Raw genomic sequence first — 12,248 nt, forward strand, 5'->3', positions numbered from 1 at the left:
TACCCACTCCAGTATCCCCACTCCCACCCAAATCCATCCGGAATGTGAGCCAGATTTAGTCACTCACTTCTAATAAACAGAAAAAATACAGAAGTGATGGTATTCCACATTCAAGGTTTGGTTCTAAAAAGACTGCAGCGTATTAGGTGCATCTTAGGTGCTGTCTCTCCCATATTCTCTCTTAGATCCTTGGCTTTTGGGGAATCCAACTGTCATGTTGTGAGCTTCCCTATGGTTAGGACCTGTAAGAGGCTTCCAGCTAACAGCCAGCAAGGAAGGAACTGGGGCCCTTGGTGCAACAGCCCATGCAAAACTGAGGCCAGCTAACAACTACGTAAGTGAATTTGGAAGCAAATCCTCCCCAGTAGAACTTTCAGATGAGACCAAAGATCTGGCCGTCAACATGAATGCAGAATGAACTGATAACCTTCATAACATTTTCTAATTAACACATATTCATTGAGAAAGCAAAGATTCAAGAGATGCACTGAACCAGAGCACGCTGCTTGCTCACCCATACAGGCAAACAATAAGTGGTAAGTATCAGAATGACTTCCTGGATGAGAATTTTCATGTACACATACACACATAATTACAGTCAGCACAACTGCATTCAATGTCAGCCATTTCTATCAGCTCTTTCTCGTTCTTTGATCTTAATTACATGAACAAGTAGCAGACCATGAGCCTTAGAGGCCTGTGGACCTGAGTTCCAGTGCCCCCTCTGCCCCTAATGAACTGTGTGGCCTTGAAATAGAAATGGAATCTTATCCGTTCATCTGCAGAATCTGGATACTAAGTTCCACTTCACATGTCAATGAAAGGAATAGATGCATTTGTATTTGAATGTGATTAGCATGGTTTATGGTTGCCTAAATAAAATATAAGCTTCCTAGTGTAATATTCTCCATGGACTACTGCTCTCTGCTACGATCTATAATAACCCAGGCTGGAGAAGTCCAGTAGGGGTAAGTTTCACACTTTGGGTCAGGGGAGTCAGCACTGCATAGAAATCTAAAGCAAAGGTGGCTGAACGAGAAAAGCTAAGTTCCAACACTTACTAATGGCGTGGCTGTGAGCATGGTACCGACCCTCATCTGTAAAACGGGCATAACCAGTGCCTACCTATGTTCTGATGGCTGAATGAGATAATATAGTTAAGGACTCAGAGTAGTGCCAGGCACACAATAAAACAAACAAATGTTACATATTTTGTCAAAATTATCATTAATTTTTTTGAGATGTATTCTTGCTTTGTCACCCAGGCTGGAGTGCCTCAGCTCATGCCTCCGCACTCCAGCCTGGGCGACAGAACGCCTCCCAGGTTCAAGCGATTCTCCTGCCTCAGCCTCTCGAGTAGCTGGGACGACAGGAAAAATTATCATTTATTGTTATTATCACTATCATAATTTAATTCATAAGTGGTTATATAGAGACCTTTATGATAAATCCAGCTCACTGAAATGTTTTGTTTGGCCACACAGGGTGTTACTGAAAAAAACACAAAACTGAATTAGTTGTTAATATTTATTAAATATTGCACTAAAAAAAAGGAAATTTCCGGTTGCTTTTAATACCTGAAAGAATGGATAACCCTGGGCCTGATTCTCTTACAGTCACAGGCAGTGGAGCCAAGAAGCAACAGTCCACTGCCTCTGCTCTTCTGTCCACCAAAGTCCTCACCATTCCCTATCGCCCTGCACCTGTCCTAGAGTACCAACTTACTTCTCCTGGCCTCAAGGGAATTGGGACTTTGGACTCTTGTTTTAATTCCTTAAAGTCCTGCCTTAAATTTCAAATTCTTGGATGATTTTTTTAAATAGCAGGTACTCTAAGTAGCAATCGCAAGAACAGATCTTGAATAAGATTAAGTCTCCCTCAGGAAATCCTCAGCAACACTAAGTGTCAGATAATGGCTGAGGATAAAGATAGGATCATTATCAAAAGGAGGATAAAGATCCAGCTCTCTACAATAACCCTCCACACGTGACCCAAAAATGAGCTTCCAGAGCTTAAACGTCAAAGCGTTAAAGTTATTTTTGCCATCCCCTTCTGTGATGGTTAATTTAATGTATCAACTTGATGTGGCCACAGAGTACCCAGATAGTCAGTCAGACATTCTTCTGGGGTGTCTTTGAGGATATTTCTGGTTGAGATTAACATTTGCACTGGTGGCTGATCCACCCCCATGTATGGTGAGCTCCTCTGCCTGGCTTCTTGAGCTGGGAAACCTGTCTTTTCCTGCCTTTGAGTTCAGATGAAAACATTGGCCCTTCCCAGATCTTGAGACTGCTGGTTTTCAGACTGGAACAACACTCTGGCCCTCCTGGGACCCAGCTTGCCACCGCAGGCCTTGGGACTTCTCAGCCATCATACTTGTATGAGCCAATTCCTTATAATGAAACTGTATGCGTGTGTCTCATATACATCCCATTGGTTGTTTCTCTGGAGAACCCTGACTAAAAAAGCTGTTATCAAATTGATAGTGCAGAGCTTACAACTCATTGCAGATCAGAATCAAAAGTGTTAAAGTGATTTTTGCCCACCTACCCCCCACCTCCATGATGGTTAATTTTAGGTGTCAACTTGACTGGGTTATGGGGTGCCCAGATATTTGGTCATTCTTCTGGGGTGTCTGTGAGGGCGGTTCTGAATGAGATTAACACCACATATTGCCCCACATATTTAAGTTGAGGAGCCTCAACTCTCTGCAGACTTATCACTGCCACAGGCTGCCTGGAGCATTTTTAGACCCTGGAGGTTCCACAGCTCTGGATTCTCAATGAGCCCATGGATTCCCCCACCTTGAGAGAGGGGGCAAGGACCACCCCAGGGGATGCTGGGAAGAACTGCAGAGCATCCTCCAATAAGCCTTTGCAGCTCTCTTCCCTCTTCCCCATCTCCTGAGCCCAGCTTTCTGCATCCTCATTCTTTTGGAGGAAAGACAAAAACAAGATCGCCTTATTCCTACTCAAATTAGCAACTTCATGGCTTAACCTTCCTCCAAAACTAAACTGAGAGTGGCAATATAGGGGATTTGGATTTTCTTCTTCACATATTCATCTCCTAAATGTTTCTCGGTGAACGTGTGTTACTTTAATCAGCAAAGATGATACAAATTATTGATTCATTCTGCATTCACTCTATGAGAGGCAGAGTTAGCTCAGCATTTGAGGACTGGACGCATTGGAGCAGACCGCTTGGGTGCAAATCTCGACTCAACTCTGTGACCTCAGGCAAGGGTCTTAAATGCTTTTGTAAAATAAGTATGAAAATTGTAGTTACCTCACAGGGTGGCAGAGATTAAAAGTTAATTGAAGCAAAGGAATTGGCATGTGCCTGACAAATAGTAAATGCTCAGTAAGTACTTGCTACCTATATTATCATCATTTTATAGTATGTATATATAGTATGATATAAAATATAAACATACATGATATAGTATCTGATATGGTTTGGCTCTGTGTCCCCACCCAAATCTCATCTCGAACTGTAATCCCCGTGTCGAGGGAGGGACCTGGTGGGAAGTGATTGGATCATGGGAGTGATTTCCCCCATGCTGTTCTCATGATAGTGAGCGAGTTCTCACGAGATCTGATGGTTTAAAACTGACAGTTTCCCCTGCATTGTCTCTCTCTCCAGCCACCATGTAAGATGTGCCTGCCTTCCTCTTTGCCTTCCACCATGATTGTAAGTTTCCTGAGGCCTCTCCAGCTATGCGGAACTGTGAGTCAATTAAACCTCTTTTGTTTATAAATTATCCAGCCTCAGGTGGTACCTTTATAGAAGTGTGAGAATGGACTAATACAGCATATATTAAGTTCCTGCTACATGACAGGCATTAGAAACGTAGTGATACAACTAATCACCTAACCCCATGGGTCTTAACCTATCTAGCAGGAGTGGGACATTATATAAATACACACCTCTTTCTGTTCCAGGATCCAATCCAAACTGCTTTGCACTTTGTCATCATATCTAGACTAGAGGGTTTTCTTTTTGAAAGCTCAAAGCTGATCCTTTTCCTGCTTTGAGCTCCCAATACTTTTCCATGACACTCTCAATAAAATCCAAACTCCTTGCTTTGGTCTCAATCTCAAAGCTCCCCATATTTTCACCCACTGACCCCTCTTCCTTTCCCCCACCAGGCTCCCCTCACTCAATGACCACCAGGCACACTGGCCGTTCATCAACTCTTTGAATCCCAAGCTTCCTCCAGCCTTCACATTTTCTGTGCCTCCTGGCTGGAAATCTGTTTCCTCAGAGGTCCTCATAATGTTTCCTCTTCATGTTTAGGTGTAAGTGCGAATATCACCTCCTCAAGGAGGCCTTCCCTGGTCATCCCAGCCAAACAAGTCTCAGCCCACCATAGTCACCGTCTAATACACAGTGGTTTTTAGAAGACCACTAATTGCTAAACTAATCCTATTTATATGTTTATAATTTACAGTCTAACCCTCAGTACTGGAGTATAGGGACCTTTTCTATCTTGTTCACTACTTTTTTTGTCTTTTTGAGACAGGTTCTCACTCTGTCACCCAGGTTGCAATGGTGATCACAGCTCACTGTAACCTCAAACTCCTGGGCTTCAGTGATCTTCCTGCCTCAACCTCCCAAGAAGTTGGGACTACAGACACATGCCACCATGTCCAGCTAACTTCTTCTTCTTTTTTTTTTTTTTAATAGAGACAGAGTCTCACTATGTTGCCCAGGCTGGTCTGGAATTCCTGGTCTCAAGTGATCCTCCCGCCTTGGCCTCCAAAGTGCTGGGACTACAGGCACAAGACACCATGCCCAGCTCACCATTTTATTGTAGGTGCCTAGGAGAGCATGCTGCACATAGTAGATGCTCAATAAATATTTGTTAAAATAAATACTATTGGAAGGAATGAATGGATGAAGGACAGGCATATATTTTCAAATGTTCACAGATGTGTCGCAAGAACCTAGTGCAGTGCCTGGCACATAGTAGGTGCTCAATGAGTACTTGTCAAAATACAGACTGAGGGAATGAATGGATAAAGGGCAGACATGCACTTTCAAATGTTCATTGATGTGTCCCTAGAACCTAGCTATGGCACCTGGAGCATAGTAGGTGCTCACTAAATATTTGGTAAAATAAAAATGGGTTAGAAGAGTGAATGGATGAAGGGAGGACACCATTTGTTTTTTTAGACAGGGTCTCACTCTATCACCCAGACTGAAGTGCAGTAGCACGATCTCAGCTCACTACAACCTTTGCCTCCAGGGCTCAAACAATCCTCTCACCTCATCCTCCCAAGTAGCTAGGACCACAGGCACCAACATGCCAGGCTAATTGTTTGATTTTTGGAAAGACAGGGTTTCACTATGTTACCCAGGCTGGTCTCAAGGAGCCTGAGCTTAAGAGATCTTCCTGCCTCAGCCTCCCAAAGTGCTGGGATTACAGGCATCAGCCACACTTGTTCACTGATACGTCCCAAGAACCTAGCCCAGTGCCTGGCACGTAGAGGCTGCTCCATAAATATTAATATTTGTCAGATGAATGGCATTTGAGTGAGCACCATCCATTGTTAAAGAAAGAGGTGACCACATAGAGTGAGTCGGCTGGAGGCCACTCTTCTGCCCAAGGGCCTCTCTCAAGAAGTCACCAGAAAGGAAGGCTGGGAGCCCTTCCTGGCAGCTGCCAGAACATCTGTCTAGAGAGGCCCCGGGCTCACCTGGGCTGCGTGGAGGCCTGGGCTGGGCTCTTTTGAGCGACTCTCACTACTGGCTCAGGAAGTTCCACCCAGTGCCGCCCCAGCATGGAGGCTCCTCTGTGGCCTCAATGCAAACTCGCCTCAGAAAAGGCAGCTGATTAACACGCGTGGAGGGTCTATTGTCTGAATCCCGTCACCAGCGGAGAAACAGCTGTTTATAGTTTGTTTATTCCTCTCCCTTTGGAGCCCACGGGAGGAAACACAAGCGCTTGTTCTCAGGGGCACCATTCAGCAGCTGAAGTGAGTGAAGAAAACGGTGTTTATTTTTAATGGGATAAAGAGGGGGAACTCTTACAAAGTTTGGACACTAGCAGGGAGACCGCTCTTCAGGAGGCACCAGGCCTTGTGGTGATGTGTTGCACCCTGCCTCTCGAGGGATGCTCAAGAGTCTATTCCAACTCCCAGCTGGAAACTCAGGCTCGGGCCACGGTGGTCGGTCAAACAGTAGACTTGGGTGAGCACCTATAGATATGAGAGATCTAGAAAAGCTCGTCAGGCTTGAAAATGAGAGAGCAAGATTTCTTTGGAGAGCAACCACCTGCTATTTAATATAGGTGACATCCTATAAAGGGCTGCCAAGCCCAGTTGTGCAGGCTGGGCACTGCACAAAGGTGTCCAGCTGAGGGAGAAATCCAGCCTCTGTGAGCTGCTCATCAAGCCATGCTCCACAGTTTCAAAAATAAATACATACATAAATAAAGATGACTAAGTGAGACAACAGCAGTCTCACAGATATATAGATGTATTTATGTACTTCATCTTTAAATGCTCACTTATTGACTCTTCACAATAACCTTTCAGATTAGGGACCACTGTCATCCTCACTTTACAGATGGCACACTGAGGCAGAGAGAGGGAACCTGACTGCTCCAAGCTCATCCAATTAGGAAGGAGTGAATCCAGGATTCAAACCCAGGCTCTTGGTTTCCATCAACAGGTGATGCTGCCTCTTCTAGGAAAAAAAAATGGCTCAACAAGCCCCAGAGTGTCATATTCAGAAAACACAGTGCCCCTCCCAGTCTTGGGAGTGAGACCTGCTTTCAGAAACACCCATGTCTTCCCTCGATTCTGCAGGTGATCAGGCTGGAAGGAGGTAGGCGAAGACCCCATCGTCTGCATTACAAGGAACTCCTTCTAAAGACTCAAAAGATTTGCTCTGAACTGGTGAAAGTCTGGGGACTCCCACTCAGCCTGGAGACTCAACCAACCCTCAGCGGGGAACAGCCCAACCCAACCAGAGCTGAGGCCACCCGCTGCTCCCTTCTCAGGGCCCAGGGTCAGCCAAGGCCATTTTCAAGTGCGGGGGACTGCAGCCAAACTCGCTGAACCAGACCCAGGGGAGCCCAAGAGGGACCTCTGGACTCAAGGGAAGAGGACGCTCTCATCCCTGTCTACTCTCCCACCCACCCCCTCCTCCCCTCCATCCCTCCCTCCTTCGGAGAGCCTCCACATTCGAATCTCCGAAAATGGTTTTCACAACTCAGTTAGCAGCAATCAATTATTCACGACCTCGCTTCCCCACCAACTCATAGACTGTCACTGTTAGCAAGATAATTTCTGGACTCTGCCCAACAGCCCTGCTCTAAACCAAGCGGCCTGCTATTTATTTCCTCTCTTCCCTAAGACCCTCCCAATGCCCACCAACCACTATCACTCTCAACACAGGACAGAGAGACAGATGGGAAGTCCCCTGGGTGCCTGTAGCCTGGGAGGGACCTGACAGCCAGGGGCTGCTCCCAGCCCACGTGATACATTTCAGGCTTGGGGCAGAATGTCTGACCTTAGTTTAATCCAACTGGAAAACAGGACTCAAGCATTCTAGACCCTGTGCCAGGCTCTGGGACAAATCCCACATTATTTTATAAAACGCTTTAAGCTCCGAAAACATTGTGTCCTGCACAAAGCATGACTTGGGAGGGTCTCCCAGACATGCCGTCCTGCTGCTGAGTTCATGGGTCAAAGACATTTGGAACTTGGCAGGGGCTCATATTTTAAGACTACCACTAGCATTTCCATCCTAGAAGCTTGAAGCTGTCTTTAGGAACATATTCCTACATCCCAGGGAGAAGGAGAGAGGTGCTTATGGGATGCTCTTGGAAAAAGAGTTTCAGCCTATGTCGTAAGACCCATGGAGGGTGGTTGGATAGCAGCTCTGCTGTGTGAACAAGCGACCTTCCACGAAAGCCACTTTTCACCCTCTAAGCCTCAATGTCCACATTTGTAAAATGGGAGAATATGAGTACTACTTCTGGGGCTGCAGTAAGAGTTTTAAAAAATGAGGCATTTAAAAAACACCCAGTACCTTGCTTGGCACATTGTGGACATTGTGGCCTCTGTGCTTCATTGTAAGACCCTGTCGCTTGTGACATGCATCATTGATTGAATAACAATTTGGGGCAAAAGGGTGTGTGCTGAAACATTAAGGAAACATACACATCAATTGTAAAATTCATCCCAGATTTCAGAAAGGCTATTTACTAAATATTAAAAATGTGTATCTTTGGCCAGATGTGGTGGCTCACACCTGTAATCCCACCACTCTGGGAGGCCAAGGCGGGTGGATCACTTGAGGTCAGGAGTTCAAGACCAGCCTGGCCAACATAGTGAAACCCCATCTCTACTAAAAATACAAAAATTAGCCAGGCGTGATGGCACATGCCTAAAATCCCAGCTACTTGGGAGGCTGAGGCAGAATTGCTTGAACCCGGGAGGCGGAGGTTGCAGTGAGCCGAGATTGCGCCACTGCACTCCAGCCTGGGCGCAGACAGAGCAAGACTCTGTCTCAAAAATAAAATAAAATAAAATGGCTGTGAGCCTGGGCGACACAGTAAAAAATGTGCATCTTAAAATGAAGCATATTATCATTATTATCATTATTACAATTGCTGTATTCATTTTAGGTGGGAAAATGCATACAGAGAAGCTATGTGACTGACCGCAGGCCACACAGCCAGCAACACAATCTAGTCCCCACACAGCTCCAGAGGAAGGAGGGAGAGGAAGAGGCAGAGTTGACCAGGCAAATCTCCCTCATCCAATTCCTCCTCCTCCTACAAGAATCAACAGTAATAATAATAATGGAAGATGAGGGTGAGGGGAGGTGGAGGGGGGAGGAGGAAGAGGGGGGAGGAGGAAGAGGGGGAAGGGGAGGAGGGTGGAGGAGGAGGAGGGCAGAGGAAGAGGAAGAGGAGGAGGAAGCAGCAGCAGCAGCATGTTATGGTGCTTAATACAGGCCCAGACACTGTGCTAAATGAGGTGCATGTATTAACTCATTTATTTCTCCTGACAACCCTTTGAAGTGGGTTCATCATCATCCCCATTTTACAGATGAAGGAGCTGAGGCACAAAGACTTCAGTCACACAGCTGCTGGGTGGCAGAGCCAGGCTGCGAACTCCGGCACCTTGGCGCCAAGTCCCCGTGCTTCTCTACTGCATTGCACTTCATTCCACCAACTGAGACAAAGAGGGACGTTTTGGTGGAGAAGGAAGTGGCATATAAGTGTCATGCCATGCCTGGTCTCACCCACACGCCCAAGGAAGTTCCTCTGAACCCACAGAGCATGCCCTGGGCTCCCTCTGATGAAAGCAAGTTCATGCCTCTCTTCCACTCTCTCCTGCTGCCCCAGGCCAGCTGAGCAGGCCAAAGGAGGGCTGGGGCCAAATCTGCAGCCCCATCCTGGGGAAAGGCTCTGACGACAGTAGCCAGCTTCTCACTGCTGTCTGCAGGATCTCAGCAATTCCACGGGCATGGAGAACAGCAGCCCCTGGAGAGGGTAGGAGAAGATTGGGTGTCTGCCAGGCCTGCAGCTGTGGACACTTCCCCTATGGGCTGCGGGGACGGGGCAGGCCCAGCACCTGGAAGAGGGCGCCTCCCCTGTCTGGCTGGTCTTCAGTCCCATCAACGGGACTTAGCATCAAGTGACGTGGTGGTTATGCACACGGGCTTGTGGGGAGCTGTGCAACCTTGCGAGAGTTACTTCCCCTCTCTGTGCCTCACTTCCTCTGTCCATAAAACAGTGACTCTGACAATGCTGACAACACTAGGTGTTGGAAGCATTAAATATAAAACGCCTAACATGTAGTATGTGCTTAATAAATGGTAGCTGCTAATTACTATTATTTATCATCATCAACAGGACTATGCATCAACTACTAAGAACACAGGTGGACCTTAAGGTGCCATCAGTATGGGTGAGGAGCTGACAAGAACCCATGGAACAAGGCATGATTCCTTGTTCTAGAATATCTTTGGCCTTTGGATCTTAAAATGTCATCTTAAAGTGGGGTTCCATAGCTCTCACTTTTAAGACATCTCATCTGATCTTTCAGGCAATTTCTGAAGGAAACAAAAATATTTACTGAGCACCTATTGTGTGCCATTCACTGTTTCCACCACTGGGAATAACCTGATGGAGTTAATGAATCCAAGACCAGCTATGATGGTGATGGCAGTTACTAATAAAAGGTGAGAAGGACCGGGAGTGGTGGCTCACACCTGTAATCCAGCACTTTGGGAGGTGGAGGCAGGCAGATCACTTGAGGTCAGGAGTTCAAGACCAGCCTGGCCAACATGGTGAAACCCCACCTCTACTAAAAATACAAAAATTAGCCAGGCATGGTGGCAGGCGCCTGTAATCCCAGCTACTCAGGAGGCTGAGGCAGGAGAATCGCTTGAACCCAGGAGGCAGAGGTTGCAGTGAGCTGAGATTGCGCCACTGCACTCCAATCTGGGCAACAGAGCGAGACTCCGTCTCAAAACAAACAAACAAACAAACAAACAAAAAAAAAAAGGTGAGAAGGATTCTAGAGTTTATTGTTAGGTAGAAGTGGGAGGTACTGGGAGGAAAGGACTCTTTTCTGCAGACAATCACACCAAAACAGCCACGTACACATGGAAGTGGGAAAGGACACGTGGGTCACACACACGGCTGGAAGAAGAGACATGTGCAATCAGGGCACAGGTAACCACAAGAGACCTAAAAGTTCAGAGCACAAGGGACCCAGAATCCCTCAGACCATTTTAAAGACGGGGAAACAGAGAACCTGAAAGGCAGGCAGCCCAAAGCCACACCAAGCAAGACACAGAACAGGTTCTGGAATCCAGGTATCCTGACTCCTGAAAGTCGAGATCACTTTGTCTTGCGTCGTAAACAGACTAAGACATTCCAGCACAGCACAGCCCGCCATCACAGACAGACACTGCTGCCAGGTCAGGCAGCCCCCATCTGCCATCTCTCTAGATCAGTGTTACCAAGCTGAGGGGAGTGTAAGACACCACCACCCTCAAAATCAAACACCTTAGGACAGGACCAAAGACAGGTAAGTTTTGACATGGAGATGAGGGAGAGAAGTTCCGAGTTGGGGACATCATCATTCTGCAGGGGCAGGTGGGGAATCGAAAAAGCCGTTGCATGCAAAGGACAAATGTTCTTTCATTGGAGGTGGAGTGATAATAACTGCAGAGGGACTCTGGGAAGGTTGTTGGACAGAGTGATTTTTGTCTTCAAAGAACGTGATCAACTTTTTGCAAGTGTTCAAGTTCCACCTCCAAATCTTGCAATTTCTAAACCAGTCAACTTTTCTAGGTTTTTAATAAAACAGAGATGATGAACCCATTAGCAGGGCTGTTGGGAACCTCACCCCAGAAAACAGTTGATGGTGGCCTGGAAGCCCCTGCAGGCTCTTGTTCCTGTCCTTCTTCCCAAATGACTTTCATGTCCTTGTCATAATGACCACATTGTTTACCTCCTCTCCCCGCAATCCATGCCGGACTATCTTCTCTTTGTTTCATCTTAAATGTCACCTTGTTGGAAAAGCCTTCCCAGATGACCCTCCCCTTCTCCCTGACTCACTGTCCCCTCCATCGGAACCTGAGCTGCAGGAAGTCAGGGAACGCGTTCTGTCCACTGCTCCAACCCCAGCTCCCGTGCAGTGACTGGCACCTAGTAGGCTCTTGGTAAAATCTGTTGAGTGAATGAATAAGTGTCTGCAAACATCCTGGGTACATCTGTAAAGCATGCACTCATAGAAAACTTCTACTATGTGACACACAGTAGATTATCAATGGCTGTTGCTGAGAGGACATCAAAGTCAATTCCAAACCAACAAGGTCGGCTTCCCATTTCCGCTGTGGAGTAGCCTTGAGCTTAGTGAGATAGAAGACTCTTGCCCATCACCCCAGGGACCTGCTCCCCAGAGCTCAAGGCACTCAGTAATGAGGAAAACCCTGGCTTTACAAGACACAGTAAGGCATGAAAACTGGGGAGAAAGTTCACTGGGAACCTGCAGGACACTACAGGTATTCTACAAAATGATAAGCTACTCTGCCATTCTTAACTATTCTTAAAAATGAGAGGAAATTGATCAGCAGAAAAAAGGTACATGAAGTGTGCTGTGTTTTGATGTGGGCAGGCTAAGTGATAACTTCCCCTAACCCGCCCATCCTAATAACATGAAACCAGTGGTGCCTCCTGCTACTGACAGGTTCCCTTACTCAATTGCTATAAGAGA

The 12,248-nt window shown here is 46.6% G+C and overlaps 1 protein-coding gene across 3 annotated transcripts in view; it reads right to left on the reverse strand.

Moving 5' to 3' along the window:
* XYLT1 (xylosyltransferase 1) overlaps nucleotides 1-12,248 on the reverse strand; it is a 369,192-nt gene that overhangs the window by 338,077 nt on the left and 18,867 nt on the right. The gene's annotated exons all lie outside the window — the stretch shown is intronic.

The sequence above is a fragment of the Homo sapiens genome, chromosome 16 (assembly GCF_000001405.40).
Source record: "Homo sapiens chromosome 16, GRCh38.p14 Primary Assembly".
NCBI classification, from domain to species: Eukaryota; Metazoa; Chordata; class Mammalia; order Primates; family Hominidae; genus Homo; species Homo sapiens.